This window comes from Homo sapiens, chromosome 13 (genome assembly GCF_000001405.40).
Source record: "Homo sapiens chromosome 13, GRCh38.p14 Primary Assembly".
NCBI classification, from domain to species: Eukaryota; Metazoa; Chordata; class Mammalia; order Primates; family Hominidae; genus Homo; species Homo sapiens.
Genome location: NC_000013.11, coordinates 84,866,864 through 84,886,978, shown reverse-complemented (window position 1 = coordinate 84,886,978; position 20,115 = coordinate 84,866,864). Strand labels below are relative to the sequence as shown.

Below are 20,115 nucleotides of genomic sequence, written 5' to 3'. Positions count from 1 at the left end.
TAATTTTAATTCACAATTCATTCAATATATTAGACACATTTGATATACATTTCTCCCTTTTTCTTGTCTTCTATCAGAGATTTCTCTTGGATATCAACTTGTAACACTGGTCATTTTTAAAATTTGTTTCCTCCATCCCCCAAATCTAAACCCTGGGATAACCCAAGAAGTGTGTTGAGCCTTTCGTTTATCTGCATTCGATTTCGGCATATTTTTATCCAGAATCTTTGTTTTATATAAAATTTATAAGTGTCTAAAAAAAAGGTTTATCTGTAGTCAGAAATAGACTCTTTCCGTGAGCTACAGAATTAATTATACAGCACTCGCTTTACATCTTTTAATTGTTAAGTTGTTTTCTTCAAAGTTCACATAGAAAAAAAATGTATCCTTAAAACTGATTCCACTATATTCACTGTATGTGCTTTTTCCCTTATGTTCCCTAACTTAGTAAAAGGCACTGCAATTTATACAGTTGTGCAGGCATAAAACCTATGAGTTAATCTTAACTCTTTTATGTTTTTATATCCAATCCTGAATCTCTTCACTTCTATCATCTATACTGCTAATTCCAGAGCCTAAGCCATCATAATTGCTCACCTAGACATCTTCATTTGTCTCTTAACTAGTTACTCTTCCTCTATTCTTATATTTTTACTACTACATTTTTCAATTATCTGTAAGAATAACTATATGTAAAAATTAAAATGTCTATTGTTGAACAAGTCCTGGTAACAAGGATAACTGAATGGAGAGAAAAATCGCATTCATTAGCCGATAAGACTTGTGTTTTTCTGATAACTGATAAATCTGATAACTAAAACTTTAACAGTTAAAAATAGAGTTCATTAGGAAATAGAAACAACCCATACAATTAGCACAAGATAATTTTCTTTCATCAAAAAATGCAATGGTCAGCATTCATCTCCTCATTGTCTTGGTCACACCAAATGATTTCATTAGCTTCAGATGAACTGTAGATGTAATGTTGTGATTACTTTCGTAGGCACATTGTTACATTACCTCCGAAAGATTTGCTCTATTTCAGAGAGACTCAGTCGTTGTAGCTCTACACCATCGTGTACCAGTCTCTGCTCTTACTCCCTATAAGAAACAACAGCAATCTGGAGAAATCTAACTCATGCAAGGGATAAGTGAAGAAATCCAAAAATTGTAAACTCTAAGGTTCTGGGAGGTTTGACTGAGAGGACTTTCAATTGTAATACAGTTGAAGGTGACTACTCATTTTTTGCCTTGGTTAAGTTGTACCACAATAATAAATTTGAACAATATCCTCCCAGACACTCAAACCAAAAAAAAAAAAGGCAGTATAGATTTTTTTCTCTTTCTTTACACCATTATTTACAAAACTTTTCTGTTCATAAAACACTTTCATTACGTTTTTTTCAAAAACTTCCTTACATGTCTGTTTGCCTCTCATTACAATCTGTCCACAAAATTATTGCACTATCCATATTTCTGAAATACAATTGGAATGTCAGCAATCTACTTAAATTCTTCCAGTGCTTCCCCATTATGGGTGAGTAACAGCACACCTTCCTGCAACAGCATGTAACCTGGCAGTTACATGGCTTTTGATACTATACCAACATGTAGCCCCTAGGTCTGTACTAGGATCGTTTTCTTAGGCTCCATGATGATATTTTATATATTTGAAGTACTGTTTTAAGAATCCCCACTTTATACCCCATTCATTCTCTTTCACATGGCTAACTCATCTTGTATTCATTCACTGGTCAGCTATCACTTATGAAGGGATGTATTTAGCCCTAACTACTTACATGCATTGTCATTTCTTTTTCTGGATGCACATCTTTTACTAGCTTGTAGAATGAGGTTCTGCTAGTACAAAGCTTTCTATTTTGGTATTAACATATTATTATTTCATATTTTCTCTTTAAGCTTATCTTGATATAGAATTGTGAAATCACAGAAATTTTCTTCCAGTAACTTCAAATTCCTCATTATATTCTAGCTTATTCTTGCTATTTAAAAAAGTCATCAAATTCTCATTTTTTGGAGGTAATATGTAGTGTGTGTTTGTGTGTATGTGTGTGTGTGTTTAATTTACATACATTAAATAACTATTATTCCATTTATGCTTCTGTAATTTAATTATGACAATGTCCAGGTGCAGATTGATTCTTATTTATTCTGCTTAAGACCCGCTGTGCTTGCTGAATCTGAAGATGCATGTTTTCCATTTTACCCGGAATATTCTTAGCCTTCTCAGAGTAAATACTCAGTTTCATTTATTCTGTTAATGGAACTTCTTTAACACCCTACATGTCTCATAAACTTTCTTTATATTGTCCATTTGTTAAAGTTCCTGTGTCATTTGGCTAATTGTCTGTTAAATTATACTAGTTTACTGCTTACTGCATCACTGCATATTTAATTTTAATTTGATTATTTCTCGACTTCACATATTATTATATTACATGGGTTTTTTTCTTGTATTTTTAATCTATTCTTACATTACTTTATTTTAGAAACAAATATTGTATTCCATGGTTGTCTGTCATTTATTTTCTCTTTCTTTTCATTTTATTTACCTTTACTTATACATTCACAGTGCCGACTTTTGCTTAGACAGATTCTTTTATCATGAGTTGCTTGATGTTTTACTCAAGAGCATTTCTATGATAGCTTTTACCATGTACGTCTACTGAATTATTAGCAACCCACCCCTTTATATGGTAATTTCTCAATTTCCAGACTTGCATCACAAGAAGAAAAGAAGAAAAAAGAGATGTAACTATGGGAAATACTGGATATGTTAATTCACTTGACCTGTAGTAATCACTTCATTATATATGTATACCAAAACATCTTGCAGTACAACTTAAACATACAGAATTTTTTAAAAGACTGCATCTTCATGCTTGCTTAAGGACATAAATTTTCAGGTGAACTTTTTTTCCCACATAGAATACAAGCGAAGATAGGCAAATTTCCTTTCTGTAGCCTACTTTTTAATTGTGAATTTCTTAGAATTTTCAGCCTCAGTTACATGTTTCCAAGTCATGAATTGGCCTAAGGCTTTATCTCCTGCCCTGCTCCCTATTCCCAGTATACACATGTTATGTCACACGTATAAAACAGAAACACCTTAGTTGTGAACATGCACAAATTCCTCTAGGCATCCATGTCATGAGATTATATACACATTAGAAGCTTAGGCTTTTCTTTTGTTTTATTTTCAGAATTTCCCTTATTTTCTTGCAAGATAACCTATATATTTATGACTATATTAAGTTATTTCAACAACAAATTTTTATTTTTTCCAGCAAGAGGAATTTCAGATGAGCTACGTTGTTATATTGTTTTTTACAAAAGCAAAGCTGAAATGTATAGACTTTTGCCATTGTTCCCTAAATAATACAGTGTAACCACTGTGTATATAGCACCTACATTTTATTAGATATTATCAGGAATCTAGAAATGATTTAAAATTTTGGAAGGATGTGCATAGGTTATACACAAATACTACACCATTCTATATTGGGGACCTGAGTATCTGTGGATTTGGGTATCTGTAAGAGGTCCTGAAAAACCAGTCCCCCATAAATACTGAGCGATGACTACACACACACACACACACACACACACACACACACACACACATATCTCATTCATTTTTTTAAATAAAAAACTAAGTAAAACTATTTTTGTTCCACATAATATAGGAAATGTTTGCCAGGATAAAATACAGTTGCCCCTTGAACAGGGTAAAATACAGTTGACCCTTGAACAGGATAAAATACAGTTGACCCTTGAACAGGGTAAAATACAGTTGACCCTTGAACAGGATAAAATACAGTTGTCCCTTGAACAGGATAAAATACAGTTGACCCTTGAACAGGGTAAAATACAGTTGGCCCTTGAACAACATGGGAGTTAGATATACCAATTCCCTACACAGTCAAAAATTTGTTTATAACTTGAGTCCCCCCACACCTAACTACTAATAGCCTGTTGATGAGAAGCCTTATCAGTAACATAAACAGTAGATTAACACTTATTTTGTGTGTTATATATATTATATACTATATTACTACAATAAAACAAGCTAGAGAAAAGAACGTTATTAAATAATTATAAAGAGGAGAAACTACATTTACTATTCATTACAGGGAAGTGGGTCATCATAAAGGTGTTCATCCTTGTCATTTTCACGTTGATTAGACTGAGAAGGAGAAAGAGAAAAAGTTGGTTTTGCTGTTTCAGGAATGGCGGAGGCAGAAGAAACCATGCAGTTTAAACCCGTGTTGTTCAAGGGTCAACTGTAAAGCAACTCCAAAATCACAGCAACATAACACAACTAAGGGTTTACACTACTTGATGTACAGAGATTGGTAAGAGCCTCTTTTCATGGTAGTCAATTCAAGACGTCAGGTGATGGACGCTGTTTCAACATGTGCTTCCAAGTACATCACAGCTGGAGGAAGGAAGCATGGTGAACTGCACATTGCCCGTTAGAGCTTCTGCCAAGACACGGGACAGTTCACATCTACTCACATTTCATTGACTAAAAGAAATCTCAACTACAGGCCTCTCTGAAAGAAGCCAGAAGGCCAGATTATTAGCATTGCTAGAATGACTGTGCTGGAAAGAAAATATTAGTTTAACTTGCTTTCCACATAAGTTACATTATCCTGTTCCCAAGTGAGACAAAATCCCCATTTTGTCATGACATTGAGTTCAGAGTTCAGGACCTCTGGTAGATGCAGACACAAGGAGGCTTTCATTCTTTTTTCTTTTTTTTTTTTTTTTTTGAGATGGAGTCTCGCTCTGTCGCCCAGGCTGGAGTGCAGTGGCACGATCTCGGCTCACTGCAAGCTCCGCCTCCCGTGTTCACGCCATTCTCCTGCCTCAGCCACCCTACTTACTGGGACTACAAGCACTCACCACCACGCCCGGCTAATTTTTTGTATTTTTAGTAGAGACAGCGTTTCACTGTGTTAGCCAGGATGGTCTCGATCTCCTGACCTCGTGATCCACCTGCCTCTGCCTCCCAAAATGCTGGGATTACAGGCATGAGCCACCGCGCCCGGCCGAGGCCTTCACTCTTGTCTCTGAAAGAAGCTCCCGTGTACATTATTCTCCAGAATCACTGTTTCCACCTGTTGGGGGAATCTTCATTTACATTTTTTTTTTTTTTGGCCTTAGAAGCTTGGGTGAAAAATTATGTACATTCCATTTTCTGCTAATAGATGTGGAGGGCATAGAGGGAGCTTTACATCTTTAAAGTTCTTAGCCTCTTTATTAACTCAGGCCTATATACTTTCCTTAATTTTAATTGGCTTTTATTTTTCTTTGATTGCAGAGAGCACTGTGAGAAAATAATCATGTTCATGGTAAGATTTATAGTCTGCTTCTTGTATTTATATACATCTTTGCTTTCTCATCTCTATGCCTTCTTTATGGATCTATCACAAATATATTGGGCTCACAATGTTAGCATGGCACAGATGATTAGCTTTATCTCCTAAGGTATTTTTGTCCAATGGAAAGAAAAGATTAGCTGAAAACCATATTATTCTTTAATCTGAGACTCTTATTTTGCACAGAGGTTTAAACAATAAGTGCGGTATTGTTTGAAATCACACTTGATATTGATGAAATATTAATGATATTTCATCATTAATATAAGAATGGTTAAATTGTTTTATAACTCAAGGGCTTTCTTCATTTTAATATTTTAAAAATTGGGTATGAGAAGCAAATGCTTCTTTAAATTGTCATGGTTTTGGACTCCCATTTTAAAACAAGCTTAAAATTAATACTTCATGTTTTCCTTTTTGCATTCAATAGTAAGCAGCACAGAATACTAATGTTTTGTTTTATAATTTCTTACACAAGAACTATAAAGTCGTTATGCCCGTGATCTTTCTTCCATGTAATCAGAAGAAACCATTTTACCAGTTTCTTTTATAGTCTATTGAGGAATCATTATTTTCCCAGACTCCTTTTCGGAGAGAAACCCTTGTCTTTCCTTACGTAAACTCCAAAAGTTTAAAAAGAAAAGCTCCTCTCAGATCTTCAACTACTTGTTTTTGTATTGTGTTATATGATTTTTTTGGACTTAAATAATTATTACAACAGGGGCTACTCTTGATTGTTTAAGATAAGAAAGGGTGTGGTTTAGACAGAGAAATGTCTTTATAACAAAGTGCAGTGTAAAAGCATCACGTGGCTTAATCTCATGACAGCCCTTTTTTTGCAGACCTGGGATTCAGTGGGAGCTTTGCTCAGAGCCCAGTGATCCAGTTAAAAGATAGAGACTAAATTTAAAACTACCTACTAAATAAAATTGGTCCTCTTATACAATCCTGTGGAAGATAGAATTTTATGTTTGATTTGGCATCTATTTTTAATCTCCCTCTCATACAACAGACTCTCTTTCTCTCTTCTCTATCTCTCTCTCCTCTATCTCTCTGTACTTTGAAGTGTGAATTTTGCTATCTGATTTTCACCTAAGAGTTGTTACTTAAGTAAGCAAATTTAGGGCTCTCCAGCTTACAGTTGCCTGGAGTAATGAAACAGATTATCAAGAAATTGAAAGTCTAAAATAGCAGAAAAAGAAAAGGGTCTTGTGGATCTATAAGATGTACTTCTACCTGCATATCTAATATATCTGTGTATTTATTTAATATATAATGTATGTCATGTATATGTTTCACTACAAAAAATATTAAAAAGAGCTCTAATTCATTGGCGTAAAGAAAAAAAAGTGCTTAAATCAAATGCTGTATCAGAAAAATAGAGGCTTTAAGCCCAAATCCATTTTAAGTTTACCTGACTTAAATTAATATTTAATAAGTAAGCTCGTTGGTAAAATAAAATTAGAAATGTCTTCAGAATTGTCAGCATACATTATTGTTTAGATTTATTGGTCAAATAGTTTTAAATTTATCTCTGCTAGATATTATAAGCTGTCAAAATTTGCCATGAGGGTTATAAAGCTATAAATGCAGCCCAAAAGAGAATTATCTTTATTTGTGTCATTTTTTATAAATAAGGCATTTAATATTGCTTGTTCAATACAAACAGCTAAATCTTGAGTTATTGACAAAAAGAATTACTTAACCTTATTATTCTTAAGTAAACACCTGAAATTCACAGGATATACAAATGGTTAACAGGAAAATAACTTTAAATAATAACTATCACATTTTTCATAAGTAATCTACGGTAAACTATTAAAAATAAATTAATCAGGTAAATGTAATGGAATAAATGCTTATAAATAAATTTGTCATATTATTTAGAATCTAAAATTATATTAAACTAAATAAAAGATGGTCATTAAATGTCTGGGTCATTTCCAATGTTTTAAAAATTATAGGAAATCATTTTTTAAATGTGTTCTTATTTAAAGGAAAATAATTTTTGCCTAATTCAAAAGTTATTTAAAGATTACTTATGAAACAAAGTAAAAGGAACCAATAAATAAGAGAGATGCAAAGAAAGTTATAAATATAAAGAGGCGTTTCAGCTAGTAAAGGTTAAAAGGAAAATAATTGTGTATGGGAAATAATCTTGTAAGATAATTTTTGTCCTAAAGTAAAATAATTGGTTATTTAGGAGAGAGGGATGCTTAGGATAAAACAGGAAGTCTGAGTATAATGCAAATGGTTTGTGTAAGTCATGATCAGATTTGTACAAAGAGAATTTATGAGAAAGAAAACTTTAAATGAACACATTGGCTATAATAAAAGGAAATTATTTATAAAAGTGTTTCTAAATATTGGGCTTTGATATTAAAAATACACTAACACACTAAAGAATTGGTAGGAACACCAAAATTGTCTTATTTATTTGCTCGTAATAAAATTACAAGAGATTTAATTTATTTTAACCCCAAATTTCGACTTTTATTGCATCTCATTGTTTTCAGTTTTCTCCCCCATTTGAGAAAACATGAAATAATAACTCCTTCAAATTTTTTCTCTCGGGTTCTAACTGCTATTGCGGCCTGATGCGAAAAATGTTTTATCTTAAAGCTCTAAAGGAAATATCTTCTTTCAACATAACATTCTGTGCCTTTGGCTTTAACGAAACAAAAAAGCTCCACTTATGCCCCAGGATACACTCTTCCTATGTTTGACTAATTCAAGTATCATTTTTATTAGTTTTGACTTCCAAGTTATCTAAATGAACTCCCCATAGGGAAAGACAAGCAATCACACTGCAGAAGGACTTTTCTTGTTTTTTCTTTTTTTGCCTTTTTGTAACTGGTGTAACAAATAAATTTTATGTTTTGTTGAAATAATTTCTATGTCATTTTTACTAAGTTTTGATTTCCCTAGGAAAACTTAAATTAAAACAAATTATAACTTAAAAACAAATAATTAAAAACTTTAAAAAATTAAGCCTTTTATATCCATGTAACTTTCTGTATTGCTTTTAGAGTCCTGTGCTATTACATTACAGTACTTTGACTCCTGGGTCTAAAAAGGACACCAAGTACTGCTAAATATTAAGCATTCACAGCAGTTAAAGCCTTCATCAGAACTGAGAGATGATGACAATCAAAATAAACTGCCTTTGTGAGACAGAGAGCCAGAAATTAAAACTATTGAACCCCTGTAGACCCAGATACTATTGCAGAAGAGGTAGTCACATGAGATTGTAATAGCCCATTTTGAGAGATAAAATTAACTCAGTTTCTCTATAAATTTAACATTAATATCAAATGCACACTGATGCAAGAGCAGCATATAGGCCCCTGAGTCAGAATAATAAGCCTTTCTTGGAGCATTAACCAAATCTTTAAAAAAAGTATAAAATTTTATAAAAAGATTTATGGAAATTATATCTTAGGGTCAAGGTAATTAAAATTAAATAGATTTGTTTATAACATTTGAGAGACAGATTCAACTAGTCTCATGGTGTTTTTATTAGAGCTTATTGCTTGGGAAATTAATTCTCCTGTCTCAAATAATAAAGGTTTTTGCTTTTTAGGGGGAAATCTTTGAGTTTTTACTTTGGCTAAATGAATGACTTATTTTACAGTGACCTGTGATCCTATTCTGTGATGTCAAGTGTTTTAAACTTTTTATGTTTGATGAACTTTCTAAAATCACGTGCTAAATTCAGTCCTATTGACCTCATTAATTTTTTGTTAGTAGGTCCCTTGAAGTCCAAAAATAAATGTTTGGCTTATTTGATGTAATAAAATCATATAGGAAGCATTGTCAAATATAAAATGATGTTTAACCATCTTTGGATTATATTTATATAAATGTGTTAGTAGTATTTATTGCAAGATTATATGAGATTCCTGTGACTCTAATATGTCTTAGTATATGTTATCAATAGTAATTATAATTATTATGTAAAATAGTTGAATGACACAGAACTAAATTTCCTTGTCAATTGTATCTTTAACTATAGCTGTTCTAAGACATTTTAATTTAATCCTTTAACAAGGCAGTTTATAACCAGCTATAGAAGTCTAAGGATCACTGTTAAATATAGGTTTCTCATAATTTTAGAGATTGTAACATTGGAATAGACAGAAAATTTTCCAGGGCTCTCATGGAGAGCTGACGTATTCATGAGGATTTTTGATCCAATATCGAGCAGAACAGGAATCAATTGCAGAGACTGAACTAACAAAAGAGTAAAATAATGTTGGGGAAACCAGCCCCACACCACAGTGGGTACCTTGAGTCTGGCAGAGACAAAGGAGTTAGAAAAAGACAGAATAAGCATTTAAAAGGTGGGTCCAGGGAACTGGAGCATTAGAGGCTTGCTCATGGCCCAGAGCTCTCAGGAATCCCCCTAATTTATTGGTTTACAAGCTCTTTGTTCTTAGGGCAGATGGGAGGGGGAGGAAGGGATGAGGAAAAGGATTAATCAGTGAAGGAGAACTCTGAGTCATTCAATAAGATGTATAGCAGTGGCAGTTTCTGTGAATTTCCTTGAGCAAAGGCGTGTGTCTAAACTACTTAAGATCTTTAACTTATTGGGAATGAAATGGGTGGGAATGGTTTCAGGAGGAGCCAAGATGTTTGATTATACTTCACTGCTTCAAGGGAGTTTTATCTCCCTGAGCAACCTGTGGAATGCCGCTGAGCGGTTATGTTCTTGGGGCATAAAGACATGAAGGCAATAAGGAGACTTTTCTCCTCAGAGGCTGCCCATGGCTTCCCATGGGTGTCTCACACAGGGGAGACCAACTCAACTGGCATCCCAGAAACTCTCTTTCCCACATGTCCCCCTTTTTTGTCTTTTTTTTTTTTTTAAATTAATAACCACCATTGCTATGCCATGGCTCGTTCACGGTATCTGGCTTCTCTCCCAAGGCGCTGTCCGCATTTGTAGACTAAAAACAAACAGCATAAACAGACACAAACCAAAATAAAATTTGCAATTGTTGATCTACCTATGGTTTTACTCCACTTTAAAGGATTGGTATTAGAAAGGCCATCAGCGGCTCCAGCAAGAATGTCAGCTCCAGGCAACAGGGTGAGATGAGCCTGAGATGCCTCAAAAACTTGTTTTCTTCAGTTTAGCAATATCTAATGTTAAATTATCTTCTTTTCCTTGCAGGTGATGTCTAATCATCGCCCAATGGTGCTCAGTGGCATTATAGGAGCTATGAGTAATACAAAAATCAGAAGTATTCCAATCACATTGCATTTGAATTCTATGCTCCAAATTCATAATCCAATCTCCCATCCAAATTACTGTTTGACAGAGATCATTAATTTGATTTGCCAATTTTTGATCTATTTGGCTTTGGGAATTCCAAAGCTTAGAAGAATTTTTCTGCCAACTATCCACAAAGCCTGCAGTTTGAATAGAAGAGTGCAAAGCAACAGCAGCAGCAGCAGTAGCTGTAACAGCTATAAGGCCCAGGATCACAGCTATTAAAGTAAATATGAATCTCTTTGATCTATTAAGTATTCCTTTTAGTACTTCAGTGATAATATGTATGGAAGGAGAGGCCTCCCAAGGTCTATTGAGGGAAACAGGTATCCAAATTCCTTCTCAGGACTTAACCAGTAAAATGTTATTATCTTTATTAAAGGTAGAATTAATGCAGGTAAAAAAGATGACCATTGAGGCATGATATGGTTTGAGAGTCAGGTAGGATATTAATTTTTTCCACTGCCAACCTAAAAGGAGGTTTAACACAACTCTGCAATGGGACTGTCCGATTAGAGGTCATGGCTACAACAAATCGAAGTTTTTTACTATGGGTTTCTGTTTTATTTTCTCCTTTCCAAATCCGAATTGGGGTTTGAGCCATCATTGATTTCCATAGTTCTGGATGTTCTGGACTTATAATTGGATCAATCATTTTCGGTCTTGGAAGAGCCATACCGTTCTCCTCCCACTTAATAGAGTAATTTGTTTCAATTCTTCTATATAATTTTGGTGCATTATCTGGGTAGTCATTTGCAAAAGGAATCTCTCTGCAATCTTCATGCTGTCCAGTACAATTTACTGCAAAGCGTCCCCTAGGGGCCCAATCAATGATGATTCCATAGGAATTATTTTGCAGTACAACAGCGCTGTTTGCAATACAATCTTCCCAGGTTAGCCCCTCTAGCTTTCCAGACAATTTAGTGGCCTGCCTAAGGCAGGGCTTTTTATTAGGTTTAAATTTATTAATCTGGTGATGTGTCATAACATAGCTGTGCTCAAGGTATTTTGTAGTGTCCCAAGATTGAAATGTTCTTCCACTGATTGCATGAATAGAGGCTTTTGATCCATTATGTGCAGGGACATAAACCATTCAACTTTGTTTATTATAATTTAAACATCCTGCTGCCAGCCCTAGGCAGATGGGAGGAAAGTGATAACCAATGGAAACATTCATTAACATTCCTTCCTCCTCTGGATGAGTAGGACCTCGTTTATCTGTTGGTCCAGGCATCCAGACACTATCATTAACATAAACCTCCACCGGGGAGTCTAACCATGTAACAGGCCTAATCAGTGGTGGGAATGGAACGTACGGCCAATAAGTGTAATTTTGATCTGTCTCAGCTACGGCGAGACTCACTGCCAGGGAGATTACTGCCATCATAGCTACCATTAGATTACTGATGGTCAGTGGCTTGTTCTGAGACCTCAGGTTCTCTTCTGCAATGGGAGCTACTCTCTTCATCTGCCCCCAGGTCGGTGGAGTTGCTTGGCGAGCTTTACAGTTTCCATCTGCTCAACAGAGACGTTCTTCTGAGCCATCTGACGAACTGGGGGTGCAGGGATGTTCCGAGGTCTTTTCCTCTTCCTTGGATTCTGGCTCATGGCACAGCTTAAGATGTCTTGTGGGTACCCAGACAGGAAGCTGATTCTCTCCTGGTGAGATACAAGCAAACCCTTGACCCCTTGTAATGATTTTGCCTTTTTCCCAGGTTTTGGTTCTGACATCCTTCCACCACACATGTTTTCCCTCATGAGAATTTATTTTTTGCCCTGTCAAATGCTGCTTTGCTGCCGTTGTAACCTGATCTCTAGATAAATTCAAAAAATTTAAAGTGATAAGAGCCAATTGTATCTGCATATGGGGAGTAGAGTATTCTCTGGTTCCCCCCTCTGTCTTTTGTTTTTGTAATTGAGATTTTAGGGTTCGATTAGCCTGTTCAACAATGGCTTGGCCTTGAGAATTATAGGGTATTCCAGTACTGTGCTCAATGTGCCATTGTTGAAGGAACACTTGTAAAGATTTACTGCAGTAGCCTGGGCCATTGTCTGTTTTAATCTTTTGTGGGATGCCCATGGCAGCGAAACAGGAAAGTAAATGTCTTTTAATATGAGCAACCACCTAACCTGTTTGGCAAGTTGCCAATACAAAATGAGAAAAGGTATCTATAGTAACATGGACGTATGAAAGTTTCCTGAATGAAGGTACGTAGGTTATGTCCATTTGCCACAACATATTGTGGGTTAATCCCCATGGGTTAACACCAGTCCCTTCATGTGGCAGTTGTAGTACCTGGCACTGAAGGCAATGTTGCAAAATGTCCTTTGCCTGTCTCCAAGTAATCTGGTATTTTTGTTTAAGTCCTGCTGCATTAACATGTGTTCGGGAGTGAAAATCTTGGGCATTAGTAAGCATAGTGGAAACTAGTAAATCAGCTTGATCGTTATCCCTTACAAGGGCCCAGGAAGATTAGTGTTTGCTTGAATGTGCATAATATAGAAAGGAAAACAGCGATCATGCACTGCCTTTTGTAAAGAAGAAAACAGCTGATAGAGTTGTTCATCCACAAGATATTTAATGAGTGTAGTTTCTATATATTGAGTGGCTTGAACAACATAAGCTGAATCAGAGACAATCTTTACAGGTTGCTTAAAGTCTTCTAACACAGCTATAACTGCCTCTAATTCAGCCCTCTGTGCTGATTGAAAGTCAGTGTGAATAATTCTGTTTTTGAGTCCTACATAAGCTGCTTTTCCATTGCTAGATCCATCTGTAAACACAGTTAACTGCTCCTTCCAATGGAGCACTAGGGGTAATTTTTGGAAGGACCCATGTTGTTAGCTTTAAAAACTGAAAAAGTTTGTTTTTTGAATAATGATTGTCAATAACTCCAATGAATCCAGCTAAATTTATTTGCCAATCGACCGAATTAACAAAGGCTTGCCAAATCTGATTTTTAATCTTTGGAACTATAATCTTATCTGGATCTGAGCCACAAAGTTTAACAACTCTAAGGTGAGCTTGCCCAATCAAGATTGCCATCTGATCCAAGTATACTGTGAGTGTTCTAACAGTATTGTGAGGCAGAAAAGACCATTCAACTAAGTCTTCACTCTGAATTATAACCCCTGTAGGAGAATGGAGAGTAGGGAACACAATGAACTGTAATGGTAAACTTGAGTCTATTCTATTAACCTGGGCCTGTTGTATTTTTTTCTTCAATCATTTGTAATTCTTTGGCAGCTTCAGGAGTCAGTTCTCATTTACTATTGAGAGCAGGGTCTCCTCTTAAATAGAGAACAGATTAGACATAGCATAGGTAGGGATTCCCAAAGTAGGTTGAATCCAATTGATATCCCCTAATAATTTTTGAAAATCATTTAAAGTTTTCAGAGAGTCTTTTTGAATTTGAACCTTTTGGGGTTTAATTGCCCTTTCCTGAACCTGCATTCTCCAATATTGGAAATGAGTGGCCATTTGAATTTTATCTGGTGCTATGAGCAACCCAGCATTGGCTACCACCTCCTGTAAATATGAATAACACTGGATAAGTCGGTCTCGATTTTCGGCCGCACACAATATGTCATCCATATAATGAATGATATACGAATTGGGAAACTGATCTCTCACAGGTTGAATAGCCTTCCCCACAAAAGTTTGACAAATAGTAGGACTATTCAACATGCCCTGTGTCAGGACTTTCCAATGATATCTGGCTACTGGTTCCTTGTTGTTCACGGCAGGAATAGTAAAAGCAAATTTCTCAAAATCAGACTCTGCTAGAGGAATACTTCAAAAGCAGTCCTTCACATCTATAATTATTAATGGCCAGTCTCTAGGAATCATGGTGGGGGAAGGAAGCCCCAGCTGCAGGGCCCCCATCAGCTGGATGACTGCATTGACCACTTGTAAGTCACTTAGCATGTCCCATCTGCCAGCTTTTTTCTTTATTACAAACATTGGCGAATTCCATGGAGAAAATGTTGGCTCAATGTTTCATTTGTTTAATTGCTCTTTGACTAATTCCTGTAAGGCCCCCAATTTTTCCTGAGAAAGCAACCACTGCTCAACCCAAACAGGATTTTGCGTCTTCCATTTTAAGGGAATAGGACTTGGAGGCCCAACAATGACTACCCCTAAAAATGGTAACCTAATCCTTTTTGGTCATTTTTTACAGTAACCTGTATGGGTCCAATAATGCCCGTCTCCTGTTTTCCTAGGCCTTTTCCAGGAATATAGCCCATGTTTGACATTATTTTTTGATGAGCTTCACCATACCAGGGAGAAGGGATTGAAATTTCTGTGCCCCATTGCTGAAGCAGATCTCTCCCCCATAAGTTAACAAGAATCAGTATGTAAGTACTACTCCAGTATGTGCTTGAATTCCCTTTAAGTTTAAGCTGGACCTTCTCAGTGTAAGTCCCACCATGCCATTTGGCAATGGGCTGTAAACTCCCGTTGGGACCTTCCTAGGAGGCTCCCCAGGATGGAGGGATACAGCTTTGGTACAGCATAAATCTACTGCCCTGCCTTTAGCTGTGGAGGAGGACAATTGCTGTACATTTGTACAGGGATAGACTGTGCCAGGAACACTCTGTTTGGAGTCAGGGATGTCCTGTCCTGAATTGGGAATGCCCCGTTTTGAATCAGAGCTTGGGGCTGGCCCCTCTGTCTGTTTCCCGGCAAGGGCTGTCTGCTATTATCAAACTTTGAATGACATTGATTAGCTCAGTGTTTTCCTTTCTTACATCTAGGACAGGTACCTGGTTCGCTGCTTTTTCCTCCTGAGTTTTGCCTTTTTTGGCTCTTTGTACACTCTTCGTATGTCCTATCTCTCCACAATTATAGCAAGATCCAGGGAACACTCATGTGTTTTTTGTTACCCTTAGTCCAGCCATTGCCTGAGCAAGGAGACTGGCCTTATAAGTGCCCCCCAATGCCATCACAGGTTTTAATGTATTCACTTAATGTTTTTTCCTCATTTAGATCTGCCTTTCCCTTAATAGGTCTAATTGCTGCCTGACATTATGTATTTGCATTTTCATAAGCAAGCAGCTGAATGATCACTTACCTGGCATGAGAATCCAAAATAGCCTTTTGAGCCGCATCTTGCAAATGGGTGATAAAATCTGGATAAGGCTCACTTGGACCCTGTCGAACTGAGTTAAAAGAAGGATAAGTAGTACCAGGGTAGTGAATTTTTTCCCAGGCTCTTAGGCATATAGTTCTGAGCTGATCAGCAGCCTCATCACCCATTACCATCTGTTGATTTAGAGTACCCCATGCCTGTCCAATTCCAAGCAGTTGATCAGATGTGATATTAACGGGAGTTTGGGCTTGAGCATTTCTGCATGCCTGATTTGTTGATTCGTCCATCCACCAGGTTTTAAATTGGAGAAATTGAGAGGGGGACAGGGTTGATCAGGCTAATGACTCCCAATCCATGGGTTTTAAACGCCGGTTATAAGTCACAGATTGTAACAAGGAATGAACACAAGGAGAATCTGGCCCATATTGTCCAATTGCTTGCTTTAAGTCTTTTAATATTTTAAAAGGAAATGGCTACCAGCATGCTTGAGCATGTTCTCCAGGCTTCTCAGCTGGCGAAATAATTACCAGAAACTGCCAACCATCCAAATCCCCCATTTCTCGTGCCTGGTGAATGGATGCCTGGATTATCCCTGCATCATAATTTGTATTTGGGCCAGCTTGCAGCATTCTTCTACCATAATTAACAGGTGGACAAGCCTGGATCATTCCCTCACCGTAACTGGCTGTTGGGCAAGCCTGAAGCTTTCCTTCACCATAGTTAATGGTGGGGCATGCAACAATGGGAGTGGCAAGCCGCGTCTCAGGCTCCTGTTCCAAAAATTCATAAGGCTGAGGTGGGAGTGGCCATTCTGGACCTTCCCCTAAAGGCGCAGTAGGTGGCACTGTTTCTGCAGTAGGTGGAACTGTTTCTTTGATAAGTTTTTGGAGGTTAGCATATATAGCTTCCCGTTTCTCCCCCTTTTTTAAACTAGACTGTGATGGTTCACTTTGCTGATCATCAGACTCCCGATTATTAAACTTTTCTGTCATCCTGAAACTCCTCATCCTCCTTCTCAGTGTGGAAGGGCTCCAATGCTGTTTTAATTGCCGATCACACAGACCAAGTGGAGAAGGGAATATCATGGCCCTCTTACTGTGCTCGTTTTAAGTCTGTTCTGACCTTGTCCCAATCTTTTACATTCATGGTTCTGTATTCCAGGAACCAAGGAGAATACTTTTCTATGAGATGGAACAAAGATGTGAGATTTTGGGTACTCACAATTACCACCCCCTGCGGTGCAATAACTGCTGCACCAGGCTTAAATAATTAGCAAACTTACCTTCAGCCTGACCCATATTTTCCTGAGGTTACCCTGGAATTCTCTGAGGGCCCTACTTACCCATAGAGCATGAAGTGAAAAACGTACTCAAGCATCCTTCGTCAGTCGTCCTCCACTTTCCATGCTCTGGTATTTCTTCACCTGATTATTTGTAGAGTTTATGGGGAGCCCCACGTTGGGCACCAGATGTTGGGGAAACCAGCCCCATACCACCCAGCAGGTATCCCAAGTCTGGCAGAGACAAGAGTTAGAAAGAGACAGAATAACCATTTAAAAGGTGGGTCCAGGGGACCAGAGTTGGTGGCTTGCTCATAGCCCAGAGCTCCCGGGCTCCACCCAATTTATTGGTTTACAGGCTCTTTGTTCTTAGGGCAGATGGGATTAAGGATTAATCAGTCCCTTGAAGTCCAAAAATAAATATTTGGCTTATTTGATGTAATAAAATCATATAGAAAGCATTGTCAAATATAAAATGATGTTTAACCATCTTTGGATTACATTTATATAAATGTGTTAGTAGTATTTATTACAAGATTATATGAGATTCCTGTGACTCTAATATGTTTTAGTATATGTTATCAATAGTAATTATTATTATCATGTAAAATAGTTGTATGACACAGAAGTAACTAAATTTCCTTGTCAATTGTATCTTTAACTATAGCTGTTCTAAGACATTTTACTTTAATCCCTTAATAAGGCAGTTTATAATCAGCTATAGAAGTCTAAGGAGTACTGTTAAATATAGGTTTCTGGTAATTTTAGAGATTGTAACGTTGGAATAGACAGAAAATTTTCCAGGGCTCTCATGGAGCTGATGTATTCATGAGGATTTTTGATCCAATATAGAGCAGAACAGGAGTCAATTGCAGAGACTGAACTAACAGAAGAGTAAAATAATCTTTTATGACTTTTTGTTTAAAACATTTGCTGATTCCTTTTGTTTTGTTTTTCAGTAAAGAAAATATTTTTTCTTTCAAACTATTTATAGCTTTATACAATTTAGTGAAGTATACTCTAGTGAGCAAAATTTAAAGCATAATTCTTTTCTCTCTATCTAATTTCTCCCAAATTTGGAAACTATATGCAATTATTATTAGTTTATGGCAATATAGTTATTTGCAGAAGTTCAATAGGAATCTGTTTTCTTTTATAATAGGGCATAATTGGAGTCACTCATTATTTTACCAAGGCTTTGGCTAGAATGACATATTTTCAGATTACCTTGAGAAAATGAGGCTTACCTATAGGGCCAGTAAAGGCCCCTTGGAAATATTGGCCCCATATCTTGTCCTTTACAAGGTCCTGACCTGTCATAAGTAAAGAATGTCACTCTCTGATAGGACCAGGGATTTCAAATTTTCTTGGGACCTTGAAAAGGGAAGAATACATTCAATTCATACAGGTATCTGTAGGCACAGATAAATCCTTAGCTGCGCTTGAGGCTTTTTAAAATGTGTAATCTTAGATTTCTTATTGGAAATGATTCCAGCAAAGCCAATTAAAAGAGAGAAGGGGGAGAGAGAGAGAGAGAGAGAGAGAGAGAGAGAGAGAGAGAGAGAGAGAGAAAGCCTATTAGCAAATGATTATTTTTGCCACACATTACACAAATAATCAAGCCAAGAATAATACGACTAAAACTTATTTTAAAAATAAATTAGCCCTACTGTGATTTTATCTTTAATAAAATTGGGGAATTGAAGAGAAAAAAATGTTTCTAAATGAACTATAGTGCACTCATTATTGGATTCTAGCCTTGTGCAGTGATTTTCTATTATTATTATTATTATTTTACAATTTGGACTGAATTCTGAAAGTTCTCCTTGCCACAAGTCTCCAAAATAATGTTTTAATTATTTCTCTTTGTTTTCCATTTTCCTGATTTGAAACACTAAAGCTAGGCAACTTAAATGTCAGAAGAAAATAACAGTAACTTTTTTGTATACATAAATGAATTTGATACCTATTGATGTATGGACTTCAGAGTAAAACGGCTTATATCAGTTTTCCAGGATTTTCTTCCTTTTTTGTTGTTTGTTGTTTTCTTCTTTTTCTCTTCTGTTTCTTTCTCTCTTTCTCCCTCTATTTTTTCTTTGTAAGATGTGAAACTTTACAATCTGCTAAAAACGAGCCTTCCCAACCATGTAGGACCTGTTTGTCTAGGAAAAAACTGTCCTATACATGAGAGATTAGACAAAACCCAAGACCAGAGACTAATTTTCTTCTAAAATGCTTTCTCTCGAAGATTTCAAAAAGAAGAGGGAGGTGAAATGTAAAAGGAAAATAGAAATGTGGGACCCCAATTCAAGATGCCAAAAGGAAAAATTAAGCTGAAACTGAGTCATGCAAGAAGCTGCCTTTCTTTTGGTTCCTAAGCAGATAGGTACAGATAAAAGGTTGAATATCTTCACAGGTAGCTACTCTGTGTTCACTTTGTCTTATGTAAAGTGCTGACTCACTGAGCATGGGATGAATACCTAATGGACTATTCCCCTATGTGCTCCTTTTCTCTTACAACATGTGGATTTTGTAATGTGACCATACCCTCCCACTTTCCCCTCCAGGCTGCTTTTCCCCTTTAAATATTGAAGCCCTCAAAAATTATCTTTGGAGAAAGGCACAGATGTGTTTTTTGAGCATGTCCTTAACCTTTGCAAAATAAACTTCAAAATTGATAGAGACCTGTCTCAGATACATTTTGTTTTACTGACTGATTCTCATTTCATCTTCGCTATGCTTCCAAAACCATCAAGATGGGGAAAAATAAAACACACTCACAGAATAAACAGTACAGTAATTCTTAATGCTACTGCACAGAAATGTCTTTCACCACTTAAACTATCATGCCATTGGCCAAAACAACTCACAGATTCATTCTTAACTTCAGGTGGACACAGGAACACAATACTATCATTTCTTTCAATAAAAAATATGGCTGGGAAATTTTTCTTAAATAGTATGAATGTCTCTATCAGTGTCTGTACACAAACAACACAAAGAAAAATACAATTTATACATACTCAATAAGGGGAAGAATGAAACTTTCCCAGCATCTGTGTA

The 20,115-nt window shown here is 36.3% G+C and overlaps 1 long non-coding RNA gene across 5 annotated transcripts in view; it reads left to right on the top strand.

Moving 5' to 3' along the window:
- Positions 1-15,265, top strand: part of LOC105370290 (uncharacterized) — a 30,721-nt gene extending 15,456 nt beyond the window's left edge. For 2 of the 5 annotated variants that reach the window (XR_007063930.1, XR_942137.1), the window contains 4 exons: positions 2,737-2,927; positions 5,348-5,378; positions 10,582-10,906; positions 12,159-14,880. This is a non-coding gene — a long non-coding RNA (uncharacterized LOC105370290). Of the gene's footprint in view, positions 1-2,736; positions 2,928-5,347; positions 5,379-10,581; positions 10,907-12,158; positions 14,881-14,904 lie in introns of those variants that run through there. The other 3 variants (XR_942139.2, XR_007063931.1, XR_007063929.1) reach the window with 2 other exon arrangements.
- The last annotated feature ends 4,850 nt before the right edge of the window (positions 15,266-20,115 follow it).